This window comes from Homo sapiens, chromosome X (assembly GCF_000001405.40).
Source record: "Homo sapiens chromosome X, GRCh38.p14 Primary Assembly".
NCBI lineage: Eukaryota > Metazoa > Chordata > Mammalia > Primates > Hominidae > Homo > Homo sapiens.
In genome coordinates, this window is record NC_000023.11 from 20587334 (window position 1) to 20609203 (window position 21870).

Sequence of the window (21870 nt, forward strand, 5' to 3'; positions counted from 1 at the left end):
AATGTACAATTAAATTATTATTGACTATAGTCACCCCATTGTGCTATCAAATACTAGGTCTTATTCATTCTATCTAACTATATTTTTGTAACCTTTAAACATCTCCACTTCCCCTACCCATCCTGCCCCAATTACCCTTCCCAGCCTCTGGTAACCATCCTTCTACTCTCTATCTCCATGAGTTTAATTGTTTTGACTTTTAGATCCCACAGATAAGTGAGAACATGCAATGACTGCCTTTTTATGCCTGGCTTATTTCAGTTAACACAATGACCTCCAGTTCCATCCTTGTTTATGCAAATGACTAAATCTCATTCTTTTTAAATGGTTGAATAGTACTCCATTGTGTATATGTACCACATTTTTTCATCCATTCATCTGTTGATGGACACTTAGTTGGCTTCCAAATCCTGGCTATTGTGAACAGAGCTGCAACAAACATGAGAGTGTAGATATTTCTTTGGTATACTGATTTCCTTTCTTTTGGGTATATACCCAGCAGTGGGATTGCTGGATCCTATGGCACCTCTATTTTTAGCTTTTTGAGGAACCTCCAAATTGTTTTCTATAGTGGTTGTACTAATTTACATTTTCGCCAACAGTGTACAAGTGTTCCCTTTTCTCCATATCCTTGCCAGCATTAATCATTGGCTTTCTTATGGATATAAGCCATTTTAAGTGGGGTGAGATGCTGTATTAGTCCATTTTCATGCTGCTATAAAGAACTTCCCAAGACTGGGTAATTTATAAAGGAAAGAGGTTTAATTAACTCACAGTTCGGCATGACTGGGGAGGCCTTAGGAAACTTACAGTCATGGCAGAAGGCAAAGGGGGAAGCAAGGCAACTTCTTCACAAGGTGGCAGGAAGAAGTGCCAGGCAGCATAAGGGGAAAGAGCCCCTTATAAAACCATCCTGAGAACTCACTCACTATCAAGAGAACAGCATGGGGGAAACTGCCCCCATGATCCAATTACCTCTACTTGGTCTCTCCCTTGAGACGTGGGGATTATGCGGATTACAATTCAAGATGAGATTTTGGGTGGGGATACAGCCAAATCACATCAGATGCTATCTCATTGTAGTTTTGCTTTGCATTTCTCTGATAATCAATGATGTTGAGCACCTTTTTATATAACTGTTTGCCTTTGGTATGTTATCTTTTGAAAAATGTCATTCAAATCCTTTTCCCATTTTTAAATTGGATTATTATATATTTTTTTCCTATAGACTTGTTTGAACTCCTTATACATTCTGGTTATTAATCCCTTGTCAGATGGATAGTTTGCAAATATTTTCTCCCATTCTGTAGGTTGTCTGTTTACTTTGTTGATTGTTTCCTTTGTTTTGCAGAAGCTTTTTAACTTGAAATTTCATTTGTCCATTTTTGCTTTGGTTGCCTGTGCTGGTGAGGTATTACTCAAAAAATCTTAGCCCAGACTGATGTCCTGGAGAGTTTCCCCAATATTTTCTTGTCATAGATTCATAGTTTGGAATCTTAGATTTACATTTTTATTCCATGTTGATTTGATTTTTATATATGGTGAGAGACAGGGGTCTAGTTTCATTCTTCTGCATATGGATATCCAGTTTTCCCAGCTCTATTTCTTGAAGAGACTGTCTTTTTCCCAGCGATCTTGGTGCCTTTGTCAAAAATGAGTTTACTGTAGGTGTGTGGATTTGTTTCTGGGTTCTTTATTGCATCGGTCTATGTGTCTGTTTTTATTCCAGTACCACACTGTTTTGGTTATTATAGCTCTGTAGTATAGTTTGATGGCAGGTAATGTGATTCCACCAGTTTTATTCTTTTTGCTTAGGATAGCCTTGGCTATTCTGGGTCTTCTGTGGTTCCATATAAATTTTAGGATAGCTTTTTTTTTTTTTATTTCTGTGAAGAATGTCATTGGTATTTTGATAGGGATTGCATTGAATCTATAGATTGCTTTGGGTAGTATGAACATTTTAACAATAGTGATTCTTCCAATCCATGAACATAGAATATCTTTCTATTATTTGGTGTCCTCTTCAATTTCTTTCATCAATGTTTCCTGGTATCCATTATAGACATATTTCAACTTCTTTGGTTAATTCCTAGCTTTGTAACTTTATCTGTGGTTGTTGTAAATGCAATTACTTTTTAAATTTCTTTTTCAGATTGTTCACTGTTGGGATATACAAATGCTACTGATTTTTGTGTGTTGATTTTGTATCCTGCAACTTGACTGAATTTGCTTATCAGTCTAATAGTTTTCTTGTGCAGTCTTGAGATTTTTCCAAATATAAGATGATATCATCTGAAAACAAGGATAATTTGACTTTTTTCTTTCCAATTTGGATGTTCTTTACATCTTTCTCTTTTCTGATTGCTCTAGCTGGGACTTCCAGTGCTATGTTGAGTAACAATAGTGACAGTGGGTATCCTTGTAGTGTTCCAAATCTCAGAGGAAAAGCTTTCAGTTTTTCCCCATTCAGTATGATACTAGCTGTGGGTCTATTGTATATGGTGCTTATTGTGTTGAGGTATTTTCCTTCTATACCCAGGATTTTGAGAGTTTTGATCATAAAGGTTGCTGAATTTCTTCAAATTCTTTGTCAGTATCAATTGAAATGACCATGTGGTTTTTGTCCCTTATTTTGTTGATAAGACGTATCCCATTGATTGATTTGCATATGTTGAACCATTTTTGCATTTCTGGGATAAATCCAACTTGGCTATGATGAATCATCTTTTTAATGTATTGTTTAATTTGGTTTGCTAGTATTTTGTTGAAGATTTTCGCATCAATATGCATCAGAAATATTGGCCCAGAATTTTCTTTTTTTGAGGTGTGTCTGGTTTTGATATCAGGGTAATACTGGCCTTGTAGAATGAGTTTTAAACTATTCCCTCCTCTTCTGTTTTTAAGAATAGTTTGAGTAGGCCGGGTACAGTGGCTCACACCTGTAATCCCAGCACTTTGGGAGGCTGAGGCAGGCAGATCATGAGGTCAGGAGATGGAGACCATCCTGGCTAACACGGTGAAACCCTGTCTCTACTAAAAATACAAAAAATTAGCTGGGCATGGTTGCGAATGCCTGTAGTCCCAGCTACTTGGGAGGCTGAGGCAGGAGAATGGCATGAACCCGCGAGGTGGAGCTTGCAGTGAGCCGAGATCGCACCACTGCACTCCAGCCTGGGAGATGGAGCGAGACTCCGTCTCACCAAAGAAAAGTAGTTTGAGTAGAATTGGTATTAGTTCTTCTTTAAATGTTTGGTAGAATTCAACAGTGAAGCCATTGGGTACTGGGCATTTTTTTTTACTGGAAGACTTTCGTGGCTTTGATCTCGTTACTTGCTGTTCAGGGTTTCTTCATGGTTTAATTTTGGTAGGTTCTATGTGTCTAGGAATTTATCCATTTATTCTAGATTTTCTAATTTATTGGCATATAGTTGCTCATAGTGGCATTAATTATCCTTTGAATTTCTGCAGCATCAGTTGCAATGTCTCCTTTTACACCTCTGATTTTGTTTATTTGGGTCTTCTTAGTCTGGCTAATGATTTGTCAATTTTGTTTATCTTTTCAAAAAACCAACTTTTTGTTTCATTGACCTTTTGTACTGTTTTCTTCATTTCAAATGAATCATTTCTGCTCTGATCTTTATTATTTCTTTTCTTCTACTAATTTTGGGTTTGGTTTGCTCTTGCTTTTCTAGTTTTTTAAGATGAATCATTAGATTGTTCATTTGAAGTTTTACCTCCTTGGTGGTCTTGGATAAGATCCGGAATTGTCTGGATTACCAGGCAGGGACTTTTGTTCTTTTCTCTTACTTTCTCCCAAACAATGGAGTCTCTCTATCTATGCTGATCCACCTCGAACTGGGGGTGTAGTGATGCAAGCACCCCTTTTGCCACCACCACTGGGACTTTGGTGGGTCAGATCCGAAGCCAGCACAGCACTGGGCCTTGCCCAAGGCCCTTCCCCCTTCAGGGTGGCAAGTTGCCCCCAGGCTCTAGGCATGTCCAGATATGCTGTCTGAGAGTCAGGGATTAGTGTCAGAAACCTTAGCAATTTACCTGATTTCTATTCTACTGTGGCTAAGCTGGCAGTCAAGCCACAGTACAAAGTCCTTCCTGCTCTTCCCTCCCCTTTCCACTGGCAGAGGAGCTTCTCTGTGTGGCCACCACCAGCACTGGTCCACTGAGGGTTCTGCCAGCTCCCTGCCGATCTTCACTTAAAGCCCAAGGGCTTGTGATGAATGCTGCCAGGTCTGGGACTCATCCTATTCAAGGAAGTGGGCTTCTCTTTGGCCCAGGGCAGGTCCAGAAATGCTCTCCAAGAGCCCAGGCCTGGATTTGGGGTCTTCAAGAGCCTACTTAGTGCTCTACCTCACTGTGGCTGAGCTGACACCTAAGGTAGAAGAAAAAGTCACCTTTACTTTTCCCTTCGCTTTTCTCGAACAGAAGGAGTCTTTCACTGTGACCATCACAGCTGGGAGTGTGCTGGGTCATCCATGAAGCCAGCACTTCTCAGAGCCCCAGGCCCATGGCGTACTCCCTGGGTATCACTGCTGGTTATTCAGGGCCTAAGGCCTCTTTAGTCAGCAGGTGATGAATCTTGCCAGGACTGTGCCATTCCCTTCAAGGCAGTGGGCTCCCTTTTGGCTCAGGGTGTGTCTAGAAATGTCATCCATGAGTGAAAGCCTGGAATGGAGGCCTCATGACTCTGCCCAATGCCCTATTCTACTATAGCTGAGCTGGTATCCAAGATGCAAGAAAAAGTTCTCTTTACTCTTCACTCTCCTTAAGTAGAAAGGAGTCACTTTTACTGCTGTGAGCTGTGCTGGCTGGAGTTGAGGGAGGGATAGCACAAGCACTTCCTTAGCTGCGCCAGCTGGTGTCTCCCCAGGTCGTATGCCACCCTAGTCCACTAGCTGGTCTAGCCTAGCACTAGGAGTTGTGTAGGAATTGCAGTCCTTGTGTCCTACACTGCTTTTCAAGTTTACCTAGGTGCCCAGAGCACTTCAGCCCACCATGGCGAAGCTTGCTGAGAAACTCAAGTTTTGACTGCTGGGATGGATGAGTCTCTTCTGGCTAGGGCTTCTCCACATGCTCCATCTGTGTATGAACACTGGCTGAGCCCAGCATGGCTTTATGCTCCACTGTGACAGGACAGCACTGAGTTCAATGTAAAGTCCTCCAGTCACTGTGCTCTTCCTCCCCAGCATGCACAGATTCTCTCTCTGTGCAGCAAGGCCACTGCCAGGGAATGGGGGAGGGGTGGTGTCAGTGATTGAAGACAGTCTCTCCTGTCTTCCTCAATGCCCCTTTTGGTGATATAAAGTTAAACCCAGGTACTGTGATTGCTCACTTGATTTTTTTTTTTTTTTTTTTTTGGTTCTTGTGACAGTGCTTTTCTGTGTACAGACAGTTGTTAAAATCTGGTGTTCCAGGCCGGGCATGGTGGCTCATGCCTGTAATCCAAGCACTTTGGGAGGCCGAGGCGGGTGGATCACGAGGTCAAGAGATCGAGACCATCTTGGCCAACGTAGTGAAACCCCGTCTCTACTAAAAATACAAAAATTAGCCAGGTGTGGTGGTGCACGCCTCTAATCCCAGCTACTCAGGAGGCTGAAGCAGGAGAGTCGCTTGAACCCAGGAGGCAGAGGTTGCAGTGAGCCGAGATTGTACCACTGCACTCCAGCCTGGAGACAGAGCGAAACTCTATCTCAAAAAAAAAAAAAAAAAAAAAAAAAATTGGTGTTCCAACAGGGGAACAAAGGGTACAGACTTCTATTCTACCATCTTGCTCCACCCTCCCCACCCACCCGCCAGGATTTTATGTCTTTTAAAACCTGGTATTTGCTTTCTAGGCTGGATCTGATTCTGCAAAACTAGCATGGCTAGTCAGATTTCTACAAGACTCCCAAACACAGTTTCCTTTTTTCAGAGGGAATCTCCAGGTTAAGAAGCAACTGATAGAGTCTCCACTTCATTATTTGGATTTCAGATTGGCTTGGCCACTTGGATCTTTTTTAGCAAGGCCTGCCTTGGGGGCATTACATTAGTAAAACCCTCTGGGTATGTCTTAGTGATTCACATTGGTTACTCCTAGGGTTACCAGCCAACCATCTTGTTTTGTCCATGACTGAGAGATGTTCAAGGATATGGGACTTTGAGGGCTAAAACTGGACAGTCAGTCACCTGTTGTGCTAAACCCCTATCAACTCCAATGGGGATGGCAGAAGGTTCAAAAGGCCAAAGAGACACAGAGCCAGCAAATAAGACACAGAATTTTATTTACTTACAGGGAGAAAGTCTAGCTGTGGCAGGCTGGACAGGAAAACCACATGGCCCAGTGGCAGTGGGCTGGGCAGGATAACTGCAACCTTCATTCAACCCAAAGCTCTGGACCTCAATCCCGTGTACAGTCTGTGTTCCATGGGGCAGGCCGGGGGCTCAGATGTTCCTCATAGACATGGAATGAATCTCCAGATTAGCCACTCCTGGGTTCCCTAGCTCAGAACATACATTCAGGTGCATCTGCCATACAGAGTCAGTCTCAGGGTATGCTTAAGTTATTGTTATCAGGTGTGTTTAACCTATACCACCTTTCTTCCTTTGATCATATAATCACCTTGAAAGATAAAAGGGATATATAAGATTATGTTTGAGAGAAGACAAAACCAAGGTTCAGAGAGGGTGACTTACGCAAGGTCACACAGAGCATTCTGGGTAGAGACAATAGGACATAGTTTTTGGCTCTATCTATTGAGGAGGCATGAAAAGAATGTTTAGGGATACACGTCCATGTCACACCCAGGTGGCTGCTTAAGGAAAAGCACTTTGATTTTTTTTTTTTTTTTTTGAAAGAGCCCTGCTGTGTTGCTCAGGCTGGAGTGCAGTGGTGCTCACTCACAGCAGATCTCGGCTCACTGCAACCTCTGTCTCCCGGGTTCAAGCGATTCTCCTGCCTCAGCCTCCCAAGTAGTTGGGATTACAGGCATGTGCCCCAAGGCCCAGCTAATTTTTGTATTTTTAGTAGAGATGGGGTTTTGCTATGTTGGCCAGGCTGGTCTCAAAGTTCTGGCCTCAAGTGATCTGCCCACTTCGGCCTCCCAAAGTGCTGGGATTACAGGCATGAGCCACCGCATCCAGCCTAGCACTTCGATTTTTAACTGTGAATTTAATTAACATACTTATGATCCCCATATTTCATGGAGAGAGAGAGAGAAAATGATAACCCGAGAAACAACCCTTCTACTTCTACATATCCTAGGTCACAGCTGCCAAAACTGACTCCATCAGAAACACCTGGGGAGGTTTGACCACACAGGGATAATTAAGTCCCACCCACAAATACTGATTTAATTACTTTGGGAGTGGGGCCTAAATACTCACAAGATTAAAAACCTCAACAAGTAACTCAGATGTGCAGCTAGGATTAATAATTACCGTTCTACGTCGGTGTTTTTAAAACTTCCATGAACATATGAATCACCTAGGAATTTTGTTAAAATGCAGATTCTGATTCAGCAGGTCTAGGGAAGGACCTAGAGTCTGTATTGCTAAGAAGTTGCCCAGAGATGCCGATGCCCATAATGATTGCATTATTGTCGTTCCTTAAATATAGTCTGAATTCATAGTAATTGCTGAGTTCCTGGGCATTGAGTCTAGTCAGAGGTAGTGCCTTGCCAGATATATTTAAATCGATGGGTTCAAACCCCCTCCTTTGTAGCCTTTAAATTGGATTTTTAAAGCATTCTGTCTTTAAGTTACTGGTAGTTCCAACGTCATATCTATTGTTCTTTGGATTCTTGTGTATGTAGAGTCAATTCTGCTTTTGCTACTAGTGGAAGGCATGTGGAATTGCACACATTGCTGAGATTCAGAACTCCTGCTTCTCATTTGACTAATTGTCTCAGGGTTGGCCTTTTCCCCTGGATACCACAGAGATGCTGAAGATCCTGGAATGAATTGTGTTAACTCTCCTGAGACTGAAATCTGGGACATGAAATTTGATCACTTGACCCAGATGCCTTCTCCCAAAGACAGAATTTGTTGGCATTCTCAGTTCTGTAGACGTCCTTTCCCTGTTCTTGGTTCCATAGGGAACTTCAGGGACCTCTCACTCCTCCTTGGGGTCTTTTAGAATAAAGCTATTGGGGGGTGATTCAGAGTGGTGCTTTTCATTTTCACACCTCACCAGTACATTTGCATAATGGGTGTAATTCTGAATATGTCTAAACAGAGGAGGAAAAAGTGAATGGCATTGCAATTATAATGGAGGTGCAGCTCAGGCATTTGGGAATCTTTCAATTCTGCTATGTATAAAATAAGAATTGAACTCAATAATGTTTACCTATTAGTAAACTAAGTAAGGTTAATCATTATTTTCTACTTAGGCTTTCATTTTAGTATCTTCTGGAATATTCAGTATGTTTGACATAGAAGCATTTGCTAGTTTACCCAGTGATATACATAACAATTTCTAATTTGGGTTAAATCTCTATAATGCTATTCCTTTGTGTCACCCTCCCCCACCTCCCATACTCTTTGCTTTCTATGTGGGACAGGGCTTATTTTGCTCAAATCTTGCTTTTTAAAAATAACACTGCTCCCAGGTATGCTTGATACCAGTTTCAGGGCTTGACCTCTGCCAGACATTTCCAGGAAGCACAAACACCAGCAACAACTCTCTGCAGTGTCTCTTTTCCTCTTGGCTGAATCATAGCCAGATGTATATCTTCAGCTGACATTTAACAACACCAGAATGTTCTTATGAGTAGGAGGAGTAGGTGACTGCTTCTGGGGACATGACTCAGAGGACTGGGAAAACCCTCCTTTTACCAAAATGCTTCCTACATTCTGTCTGATGCCTAAAATTCTCACAAGAGAACACTCTTATTGTGGTTAAGGTTCTAGTTCTTGTTAAATGCTCCGGTAGGGGGTGATGCTCCAAACCAGAGCTTTCCAAACTTAATGTGCATATGACTTACCTGGGGGATCTTGCGAAACTGCAGGTCTGGTTTCAGTGGGTCCAGGGCAGGGCCCCCTAGCCTGCAGTTCTGACAAGCTTGCAGGCGCGGCTGAAGTTGCTGGTGGGTGGAGTGCATTTTGGGTAGCAAGGCCAGATCAGCATTCTGAAACTTGGCTGCACGTCAGAATCTTCTGGGGAGTTTTACCAATCCTGAAATCCAGGCTGTACCCCGGACCAATTACATGAGACTCTGGGGGTGGGACCCAGACATAAGTAGTTTTTGAAGCTTCCCAGGTGATTCCACTTTGAGGCCACATTTGAGGATAAGTGCTCCAAAGCAGAGGCTCTCGACCCTAGCTGCTGATTAGAATAATCAAAGGAGACTTTAAACACACCAATGCCTGCCTCTACCCAAGATCAATGAAATCTGAATCTCAGGTGGTAAGGGTTAGGCGTTTGGATTTTTAAAAAAGCAGCCTGAATGTTTCTGGCATGCAGCCAGGTTTAAGAACTACTGCTCTGCTAATCAGTGTTTGTAACTTCATGTGGATGAAGTCTCCTCTGTGTGAGGTTTGGTGGGAGGAGAGGGAGAGGCAAGAAGTGGAAGGTTCAGAGAACTGGGAGCCCCAGGAAGAGCAGAGATGTGAAGAAAGCTGTGAAATGGAGAAAATGGGGAAGCTGACCATTTTGCACACTATGCAGCTTTGCCCAGGGCTGTCCTGGAGAGCGTCCACATCAGAGGATTTGGAAAGGTCTGATCATGACACTGTCTCAATGACTGGTTGGCCTGAGTAGCAGGCAGGGTGCAATGTGAAAGCCGAGCCTGCTAACTCTTTTCATTTTTCTCTGAATTAGATGCCTCAGTGAAGGTGACAAACTGCTCCAGTTTACCCAGGACTGTCTTGGTTTTAGCACTGGAAGTCTAGCATTCTGAGAAACTCCTCAGTCCTAGTTAAACTGAGATGGTTGTTCATCCTAGCCTTGCCTCTCCTCTGAAGTGGTGACCCAGATCTCAGTGTGTGGCTACCTCAGAGGAGCAGGTTTGTTCTTCTGGCTGGTCAGTTGGAAGAAAATGGGCCTTACTGAGTTCTTAAGTGTATTTCATTCATTGTTGGTGAATAGGGTCAGGTATTGTGAAGATGGCAGAGAATTTGGATAAACCTGATCCTGGATGCATGGTTTAAGGACAATTTGAATGGCTTCTCTTAAGTTTTTTTTAAGAACGTGTGGTCCCAATATATCCCCTCCCTCCACACACTCATGCATGCACACATATATGTATATCTCTGTTTGGTTGGCAGAGCACTGACCTACATAGGCGCAGAGGCCAAATAGATCCCAAGGAAATGAGAAAAATCATGGTCTGTGCCGAGCTCCCATCTGACAGATGGGTGTAACCTACTCAGAGAGTATTTTCAAAGCATGTGGCTTGAATGCAGATTAATGTCATGCAAAATGAATATGAAAATGTTAAGGCACCAAGTCACAGAGTAAAATGCCGCATCAGAGGAAGATGGGGTTAATCAGGAAAGACCCTTTTGAAGATGTGAATGTCATTTTATAAAATGAGGATAATGTCGCCTTTCTACAGGAGAAAAAAAAAAAAGGCGAGAAACACCAAAAACCAAAACCACTCAAAGTGCTCATTAAAGGGAGGAGTAAAAACTGGATGATTCAATGGTCCATGTTCTAGTACACAGACTTTAGAATATAATCTCTGAGGTAATCCACTCTCAGCACAATTGAAATCTGCTTTTGAAGCTATTTCAATTTGTGTTATCAGGCCGCTGGTAGCTGGTTTCTTTGACTTAGAAGCCATCAGGAGTTCTTTGCCTGAATCAAGACTTTGGATTAGACTCTTGAGCAGTGGTTCTCACATTTAAGCATGTGTCAGAATCATCTGGAAGACTTCTTAAGGAGAGGCTGATCCCCCACCCCCAAGTTTCTGATTGAGGTCTGGGGTAGAACCTGAGAATCTCCCCTTTTAGTAAATTCTCAGGTGATGCTGATGTTACTGGACCAGAGATCACACTCTGAGAAAGAATGGACTAGTGTTGTCCTTGAGCAGGTTTATAGACACAGTAGCATAGCTCTTCCTAGAACAGACCTTGCCATTTAGAACATCACGACCAAAACTGAAGATGTCAAAGGGATGAAAATTGGAAGCCAAGAAAGCTAGATGCCATCTGGGGAAACAAACAGAAAACATCCTAATTTTTGTTTGTGGCTAGCACTACAGCTATCCACTAAAAACATGGTGTTTCTGGATTTTATACATGTGCAATTAAAATGAATCCTCACTATTGTGACTTAAAGAGAATCCTAGTCTTTGGAATGAAAAGATACTGTTTTCTCATGAGTGATAACAGAGTCACCAAATTCTATTCTGAGCGTATATGTTAGAATATGTCACGAAGTCTATTTTCTTCCATGACAGGGTCATCTTATTGGGTAACCACTGGGACCAATGAATTTCTTAGCAGTTTAGCTATATCAATGGTGAAATTCAATCAGTGGCTTTAGGAAACACTGCCATATGTGTTTTAGTTAAAACTGTGTATTTTGAGTTAATGCAAGATAGATAGCTCTACTTACTTTCTAAGGTTAGCTGAACTACAATGCCTAAAGCAAATGCTTCAAACTTCTGCAGGAGAAGTACAAGTAAGTTGTAGTGGACTCTGTTTATGACTGATCCACCATCCATTTTCTCTTTTCTTTGTTTCCCAATAGCATCCCAATTTTGTCCAGGTATCTGCAAGTCATTTATTTACCAGGTAATCTTAGCAAAAAACTGTTAGGGAGTGGAGAGAAGAGGCAGGGAAGTGAAAGAAGCCAATGAAAGGTATGTTATGTGAGTTACCACTGTGGGCTACTGGAGCTCAGGCCTGTTGGGGAAGTGTAGTGATATTGGGTGTGCTGCCAGGAGACAATTCTTCATGTCTTTATACATCTTTTGGCAGCTATTGTCCTCATCTATGTTTTCAAGGATGTTAGCATAGCAAACGGCCTTGGAATATAGACATAGTGTCTCCATTCAAGGGCAAAGTGCTGATTTGTTTCCTGACCAAGACGATAAAGAGAATGTCTTTCTTGGGGACAAAGGTTGGGTAGGTTTGCTAGTAGCCCTTATAAGATTGAAGGTTTCTAAGCTTGGAGTCTTTCAGCTATGACACAGATCTACTGTGTGCATAACATCCACTGAGACTCCTCAACATCACCCTGTGAAAATTGGGTGTCAAGGGGGAACAAATAAGGACATGAAGCTCATGCCGCCTGCTATGCCATGAGTAATAATGTCCTTTGTCTCTGACCCTGGGGTCTACTGTCTTCTGCCAGCATGCATGAAACTGTGGCAGTCTAACCTCCTGGCTTTTGGGCAGTGTAAAATCTCAGAACCTTCACAGTCCTTGACAGATGTCTCAGCCTTATTCCTTTTGAGGGATGATAAAGCTGGGGTATTTAATAACCACTGGTCATTGGTCGAAGGCTACTCCCACGAGGCCTTAAATCTTCAACATTTCCACCTTTCTGCATGAACAGGCTGGGTGACTTTCCACAATTTTGTTGAAAGCCTCCAGACAAAGAGATGTAGATGCTGCCATTTAGAATTGACAAGTGCATACTTTGAAATGGTAAAGCCTGAAGAATATAGGCAGGGCACAAAAAAGGTCTGCTATTTCTTCCCTGGTGTCCATGTGCCTCATTTTGGAGACTACTAGTGAAGAGCATGAGAGGGACATGTTACAAGATGAAGCCATCAGAAGTAAGGGGCACCAGATCACTGAAGATCTTTAGAGCCATATTAATTAATTTGAGCACGGTGGGGAACCACAGGGTTTTTAAAGCAAGGTAGCTACTATTTATTGAGCATCTACTATGTATTAGGCATCATGCCAGGAACTTTAAATGTATTAATGTACATCTTAACCTTCATAGCATTATTTTTATGATTTTATGTATAAGAAAAAAAATTAAAGAAAATTTAAGAAACAAACTCAACATTAAACGCTAATATTAATTTATCCCTTTATTTAAAAAGTAAATGTGGCAGCCCTCAAGCCAGCTGTCTTTGCTCTGAGGCCAATGGTGTTTTCATTATGCCATAGCTACTGCTTTTCTTCAAACATTTTCTACATATGAAGAAAATGCAATTCCCAGTGTGAAATGATTTATCTTAGGTATTGGATTGGTTTTTGACCTCTCATTTTATTATTGAATAAGAGAAAGTTTATATCTTCATTAAGCTAATATATATAACGACTATGCAATAACAATTTATTATTTATTTAACATAAAAATTATTATGCTAAAGCCAAAACCAGTTTGAAGTTGATCAATAAGTTTCCTTAATTAAAGTGCTTAATATTTTCCATAATTCAACTGTTACATTTTTGAGAATCATTCCAATCCAAGTTACCTTCTAATATTTAAAAAGTCTATAAATTAATATAATACATATTCAGGTAGAAAAACTCCAAATATACTGAAGTTTTCATGTTTACGTAAGCAAATCCTGTGTTTTTATTGCCATGTAACCATATCCTATTATTTAAAGTGGATGATTATGTCCGAAGAGCCATTTGCATTTATGTTACTCATGGTTCATAAATAAATCTCTTCTCCACTCCTAAATCACAAAAGAATCTTTTGAGATTAAATCTTCCATGATTTATCTTAGCTCCCATGTAAGACTATTGAGAAATGTTGGCAAAAATAATCTAGTTATTTTTGAGCTTAGAGATGAAAGTAAAGAATGTCTACTTTTTGAAAGCTAGCTAGGTGTTGACTTTTTTTCCTGTAAACATTTATCCTAGATGTTTAAAAACAATGTGGAAATTTAAATGGAAAATGTTTCTGTATAAATATGCTTAGTACAGAGATTTTGGACTTTTAAACGAAAGGCTTTCTCAATTACAAAGTACTTCTTAGAGCATTTTTTCCTCTATGCTTTCCCTAGACTGACTAAATGTCAGTGCTACATTGAAAAGGAACATGAAGAATAAAATTCAGGCCTAAAATTAGGCTATTGAAAGAGTTATCTGATCCCCTACATATTTTTGTAAACTCACATTTTAAAATTATGTCTAACAAATGATAATATGCCTGGACTCTATTTAGGAATATTTATCTATTTCATACTTAAATATAACAACACACATTTATGGCAGGTTCCAGCGTTCCTTTGGTGACCATATTTACGGTAGGCAGGCATTAAGACCTGCCTTAAAAATTCATTCTTGTAATGTCGGTGTTTGGCTCATCATTTCTAACTCTGTCAAGATAGGGGCCTGGAAGTGATAGAGCTGTAAGAATTCAGCTTTCAAGGAAGACAACATATCTATTGTCTCACTTTAGTTAAAATTTATTTAGAAATGCCTATAGAATTTGGTTGAAAACTACATCTTCAAACAAAAGTTAATAATCTATGTTGTAAAATGAAAGGTTAGAGCTTCTTCAGGAAACTAGGGGGTCATTATCAGCCTCCAAGAATACCATCTTCCTCAGATTCCCTAGGTCCTAGGAAGGAAATAAGATGGGTACTTGGGGACCTGAGATCAATTCTCCAGACACTGGGATTATCACTCCCTCATTTACGGAAGGAAAGCTAAGGCTGCTTTTCACCTGTTGGGCCAGCTGTTCTGGAAAGGTTGGAAGTCACCTGAGGGAGGGAAGAGTTGAAGGATAAATTCTGACTTTCTAGCCCAACATCGTGTTTGGGGAAGGAGGGCCATTAACTAAGAATACAAGGTGTGGCCATCTGAAGAGCATTCTAGGTGATATCCTGGGACCCCTGGCTTAAATGCCTGAGAGAGAAAACTACATATATCCAGAAGAGGGAATTACCTAGGGTCCAGGCCTGCCAAGGCTGGCCAGAGCAGCCCTGCCTTCAGAGGAAGTGTCCTTCTACTAAAGAGTTATGAGTGCAGGTGGAAACTGACAGAATAGCAGTAGAGACTTCCACACAGAAGAGGAGTGAATGAGTTTGATCAGCAGTGCCTGGCTAGGACTCATCCTGTTTCTTCTCTTAAGTGAGTGGAGCTATGGAGATTCCTATGCTTATATGCAACTGCCCAGTCCCTAAGAATTCTGAAATTCAACATTCTCAGAAGTAAACTTGTCACCTCAATTAACTTTTCTCTTCTGTATTCTCGAGCTTTCTTGGTTGCTGGCCCAGCCATCTACCCAATCAACTTGTCCATCATTCCTCATAAACAAATTTGTCAATCTTTCCATCCTTCATACCCCATGTCTGATACCACTTTCTTGGTTTAGGCCCTTATCTTTCTCCACATAACATAGCTATCAAGTTTTTGGACATAAAATACAAATCTGGCTGTATCACTCCACTGTCACTGCCAAAAATAGTCAATGCCCACCCCTCTTGCTGCCTATGGGATTAAAAAGAAACTTCTCTGCATGGCAAAGTGGTCTGCTGATAAACCAGTTCTATCAAAACAAGAAGGCCCTGATTTTGACTGGTTGCAAATTTCCATGGTGTAAATACCCCCACCATGGCCAATTCCAAAGCACAGTTTATCGACCAAATCACACAATTTCCAAATAATTAACAATTAGCTGCTAGCTGGCTCTAGCACACCAAATGCATCAAACTCTTGAAGATACGGTGCCTGACTACTTCTGTCATCACTAGCCAATCCTTTCTCAAAGCTATGCTCTGGGATGTGCTTGTAGCTCCCTTTGTATTCCAGGCTGCTTATTGCCGGCATGCTTTTGTTCATGCTGTCTGTAATGTCTGTCCACAGCACCCCTTTTCACCACCCCCTTGGGGCAAAACTCTTATCTTCATCTTGCTAAATTCTTCCATCCTGGCTTAGGTAAACTTTCAAGGAAGACTTTTTTCCTTCACTTTGTCTTCATTTGCATAGCCCAGAAGTAGGCCCTGAGTTGAAGATTCACATGTAAGTGATTTATTAGTAGGTGTTCCCAGGAAAAAACCAATAGGAGAGTGGGGAAGAGAGACGGACAAAGAAAGGAGGCCAAGCAAAGATGTGGTGGTGTTCCCATGGAGAGTAACTTTGGTGCCTTCTTATAAGGGACTTTTGCAGAAAGTGTAAGTTACACATTAAAGTTGCCTTGATCAAGGGCAAAGGAGCTGGCATATTTATATTGCTATACTTGTCGGTCACGAGAGCTGCCCCCGGGAAAACAAATTCCCAGGCACTTCCAGCTCTCTGTGCATGCGCACAGACAAAATGGGCTCTTGCAGCCTGAGAGCTGTCCTCCAACAAAGAGACACAGTGCTGGCAGCTGGGAATGAAAGTGACCTGAAGCTGATGTGCATGAAAATGCAAAGGGATTCCACAGGATATGGGCAGGGTACTGGCAGTGCATGAAATATACCCTACTCTCCAAAACACACATGCATGTGTGTGGGCACATGCACAAACACACACATATCCCTCAGGCTGGTTTGGGTTCCTGATATGGTTTGGGTCTGTGTCCCCACCCAAATATCATCTTGAATTGTGCTCCCATAATTCCCATGTGTTTTGGGAGAAACCTGGTGGGAGAGAATTGAATCATGGGGGTGGCCTCTCCCATACTGTTCTCGTGGTAGTGAGTAAGTCTCACGAGATCTGATGGCTTGATAAGGGGAAACCTGTTTCACTTGGTGCTCATTCTCTCTCTGGCCACCTCCATGTAAGAAGTGTTTTTCACCTTCTTCCATGATTGTGAGGCCTCCCTAGCCACATGGAACTTTAAGTCCATTAAACCTATTTATAAATTGCCCAATCTGGGGTCTGTCTTTATCAGCAGCATGAAAATGGACTAATACAGTTCTCCTCCACAGTACTTCTATCTCACCACTATTGCAGTTACCTCATGGTTTAGAGTAATTTCTTCATGTATCAGTGTCCTTCATTTTACATGACCACCTTGAGAATAGGGGTCATTCATCTTTGTACAGTGCCAGGCATAAAATACGTGTTCAATAAATTGTGTATAGATTAAATGCATGAGGGAGGAGACCATAGTGACAACTAATGGGAGCAACTGGGATGAGGGAAGGGGCATAGGTGGAGTAGAGTCTCAGAAAGACTGGATAGGAAGTTGAGGCACATGAATTTTTGAGTATAGCCCAGGTCTTAAGCTTTCTTGTTTGCTGTGGTCTGCAAAGATAGCATTAGCACAACATAATCTTGCTAAAACTGGGAAATGGTTCTTCAGGCCCCCTGGGGATTAGCTTTTTGCTATTTTTCCTGTCAAGAAGCATTCTAAATTATCGGAGACACTTAGAAATTATGGGTAAAATGTTGGCATTACAAAAGAACCTATGCCAGGCCTCCAAGCCAGAGGTTAGAGGAGGCTTGAATGCATTGTTCGCAGGGATTTCCCTGAAGTCTAATTAGCATCTAAGAACACTTCAAACTGCAGCTCCATTACTTGCAACATGTAATTATGGATATTACTAGCATGTCTAATTTGACACGTAACGTAGAGGGCGAACATTAAGTGGGAGCTGTAACATTTGGCAACATATGCTGCAGAGTTCAGTTTTTCACTGACACTAGAATCATCTGTGTGTGCCAAACAAGCCTTTTGAAAATGACAGATATTAGGAAAGCAGCGAGAGAGTAGTATTTCTTCCTCCTTCTCCTCTCTCAAGTTAATAGTTCAATGCAATTAAACTATATGATCTATGAGGAAAATGGAATTCTAATTAGCATTGATAACAAACCATTCACCCGCTGCTCTTGAATATTAGAACATTTGTTTCTGGCCAATTCTGTTCCCTTAGAATTCAGGGCATTTGAACCAATTGGGGTAATCAGTGGGCAATCAGTTTGTTTCTGGCCAATTCTATTCCCTCAGAATTCAGGGCATTTGAACCAATTGGGGTAATCAGTGGGCATTTGAGTCCAAGAGGAACAAAAGGAGGTATGATACTTATCTGGAAAACCTTCAACATATCTAAACAAGAAAAGACTAAAAACTATAAAAGAGAAATCTGAGATAAGGCGTAAGAAAAATTACAGTATTATTAAAGTGTTTTGTTAAAATAACAACCCTGCCTTTAGTAAAGATCCATCTCCTTTGCCTCAGTCTTTATGATTTTCTCAAGAACTCAGGGTTGAATATTTGAGGTCATCCACCTCTTTTAGTCCCTCTATCTGGTTATGGAAGTTCTCTTTTCTTATACCTTCGGAGTCATGTACACGAACCTGTCTTTGGGATAGATGGAGCAGGTGTCTGTTGACATGGGTTTGAGGAATTTCAGGGGGCACCATTGATTTGGGTCTGGAAGATGGTTCAATCTTTAAAGAGTAGACAATCACATTCAATTTCCTAAAAGAGGGCAACAAGTCAATTGGTTGCCACCTATAGGCTTAAAGGAATTGATTGACAGATATCACACCAGGGGTTTGAATGTGGGTTGGAGGAGGCAGCAGGAAGAGAGAAAGAAAGGTAGAATGCAGAGATAGGATGCTGGTAACAAAATATCAGTTTCAAGTTTTGATGAAGTCTGATTCTATGCATAGCATCCTCCATCCTCAATGATGCTCTGTAAGACTGCATCCCTCTTTAGCTTTTCAGACCCATCAACCTATGTGGAGATGTTGGGCTAATTTATCTCCATACTTCTCTCAACACCTTTCATAATTTCACTCCCATGTTGAATGAACCAGTCTTCCCCTGGTTCTTTAGCTGGGCCTCTGTACCAGGCACTGGCCACTAAAAAGAAAAATGATGGCTTCAATCTAGAGGAGCTACCTACCCTACCTCAAGACAACTCTTTAGTCCCACCCTTAGTTCCTTATTAAAACCATACCCCTGGAAATGTAAGTTAGTACAGCTACATGGAAAACAGTATGGAGGATCCTCAAAACATTAAAAATAGAAATACCATACAATCCAGTAATCCCACTGCTCAGTATAGATACAAAGGAAATGAAATCGGTATGTCAAAGAGATATCTGCACCCCCTCTCATGTTTGTTGCAGCACTATTCACAACAGTCAAGATATGGAATCAACCTAAATGTCTATCAACAGATGAGCTGATAAAGAAAATGTGGTATATATACACAATGGAATACTACTCAGCCTTAAAAAGAGAAGAAGTTCTGTCATTTGTGACAACATGCGTGAACCTGGAGGACATTTGCTAAGTGAAATAAGCCAAAAACAGAAAGGCAAATCCCACATGATCTCACTCATATACATGGAAGCTAAAAAAGTGTAACACATGGAAGCAGACAGCGGAATGCTGGTTGCCTGGGCACTGGGAGAGGGGTGGTCAAAGGATACAAAATTTCACTTAGACAGGGTGAATAAATTCAAGAGATCTATTGTACAACACAGTGACTATAATTAATAACAATGTATTATGTTCTTGAAAATCGCTAAGAGTAGATTTTAAGTGTTCTCAGCACAAAAAAATAAAAATGTGAGGCAATGCATATGTTAATTAGCTGGATTTAGCCATTGCACAGTGTCTACCTATTCCAAAACATCATGTTAGATACCATAAATATAAGTTTTATTTGTTAATTAAAAATACATTCTAAGAAATAAAATTTTAAAAAGACCCTACCACTTGGTGCGTCTCTGGTCCCAGGCACCTGGCAATGTGTCACCCTCCTTCCCCCTCTTGCAGTTTTGTGCCCTTATGTTCCCTCTGGCATTCATATCTTGGCACCCCTTCTCTGGTTTTAGTTTTGCTTACTCCTGGCCTCAGAAGTGCTCCCTGCTGCCTGCTCTAGCCCCCATCCCTGCATCTCAAAGGAAAGGAAGGAGAAAATGTTCTTGTCTAATTCCCACTGCAAATCTGGGAGCTAATTCTGCCAAAAGAACCATGTGGCATTTATGGGAAAGACTAAAAGCACGAAGGGGAAGCGTGTAGTGTTCAGTGGCTGGTCGTGTTGAAATAGCCAACTTCATAATTAGAGCTATGGTCCTTGTAACACCTGCCTTTTGATCTCAGTACAGAATATATTAGGTTTAATAAACAGCCATTTTGCTGCCTTGTTTTCAACATTCACTAAAAACTTCACATTTTCTGGGTTCGTATTTGTAGCCCTGTTGAGGTTTTTATTTCTCAACCTGTTTCCTATTAAGAATAGAACCTGACGTAAATGACCTCCTCAAGAGAGAGGATCTAGAGCAGTGCTTCTCAAATGTGGAAGGAAAATTTCAATCCCCTGTGGGTCTTGTTAAAATGAGATTTTTTTTTTTTTTTTGGTTCAGTAGGTCTGCCTGAGATTCTGCATCTCCAACAAGCTCTCAGATGCTGCTGATGCTGTTGATCCAGGGATTACACTTTGAGTAGCTAGGATCTCGGTGATTCTTGATGCCAGATTTTTCAGCCATGATTAATGAGCAATAATCGTGTTAATAGAGGTTGGGTTTAAGACCCAGCATTTTCCCCAAGCATGTACACTATATATACTTCATTGTAAAAAGAATCTGGTAAAACTTTAGACCCTCAGGCAATAATGGTCCACTTGCAAATTTTTTTGTGCATCTTCTTAGACACCTCTTCTGATGAGTCTGAAAAAGTGGAAAGAAGATCAGAATTTTGATCCAGAACGATTTCTGTCTGTAGTAATATTTTAGGTTGATGTTGACTGCAGAGCTAGCACTGAACTTGAGGCTTCCTCAGGGGAGGTGTTCAGGTGTTGTAGATCTGAGACCCTAAGATACAAAAATAATCAGTATCAGTTAAAGCTCCCTAAATGCAGCATTCTTTCAAACTGTAAAACCATTCATGTGTAATTAACATTGGTGGCAAATAAGTCAGTGACTGTTTCTCATCTCCTATTTCTGATTTCTCATCTCCTCCCTTGAGATGCTTCTTTTGATTTCAGTTACTGATGCTTTATCACACATATTTTCAAAGTCACTGCAGAGAACCTAGTAAATCCTACCTTTTGTTAGTAGTAAAATTAGCCTTAGGCATGGTAACTGCCCTGGCAATGTGCTAGCTGCTGAATCACCAGGTGAAAGCAATGGAAATTCCAGGAAACAGAATATGACCCCAAGCTGGCCACAGGGCCCACTGGTCATGACATTGTATTATAACGTTTTTCTCCACCTAGCCTCCCCTTTTCTATTCTCTCTTTTCCCATCCCATTCCCCTTTCCAAGTTACCTTTCTCTTTTTATCTTCTTGATCCCCAGCAGACAGCACAGATAGCACATTGAAAACCGACTCAATGAAAGTGTGATGGTGAAGTCAGGGTTTTCCTCCAAGTCCTTGCCCAAGGCGCCTGAGATTGCCCAAGGCAAAGGTGTATTGTGCAGCCCTCAAGTAGAAACTCCTCCCTTGTTTCTGCCTTTATCCATCACTGTCAAGAAGGGGCCTCATAACAGTTTAAGCGTTTGTGTTTTGGTATTTAGGTTCGTATTTGTCATTTAATGAACTGGTGTTCACTGCCAGAGCTTGAGCTAATAGAAAGTGATAGATACAGGAAATATGAAAACTAGCAATCTCTAGGTTGTGGGCAGCATAAGTGAAAGTTCAGAAGCTTAGAATTTAAGGTAGATTTGCTGACCCAGCTTTCAAAATCCTAGCAGTGATTTACAATTGTAAATCCCCCACCTCCCTCCAGGTTGCTTTATCTGTTTTTCTTTTTTTCTCCCAAGCTTTAAGCAGGAGACTGAGACAATATGAACTCACAAATATTTAGCTTATTATTTTCCATGACCACGACTAAAGTCAATGGAAGAAGATACCATAGGTGTGCAATACTCAAGGAATTCCCAAGTAAGCAGATCCTGTTTAATTCAGATTTTTCCTTTCCTGAGCTCATCTTTTATCGAATGTACAAAGCCCTCCAAAACTTCTACAAAGATCGTTGTTCCATGCCTAGTTATGATTTAATTCATTTGCATGTGACAATTCTATCATCTCAGTACCATAAGGAGCAAGTCCCAGGGCAACAAGAAGTGG

General features: G+C 41.2%; 1 long non-coding RNA gene across 1 annotated transcript in view; it reads right to left on the minus strand.

The window, feature by feature from the left end:
• Positions 1–19143: 19143 nt before the first annotated feature.
• The window catches only part of LOC124905257 (uncharacterized), a 121005-nt gene continuing 118278 nt past the window's right edge, over positions 19144–21870 (minus strand). Inside the window, exon 3 of the long non-coding RNA XR_007068409.1 lies at positions 19144–20613. This is a non-coding gene — a long non-coding RNA (uncharacterized LOC124905257). The remainder of the gene's footprint in view (positions 20614–21870) is intronic.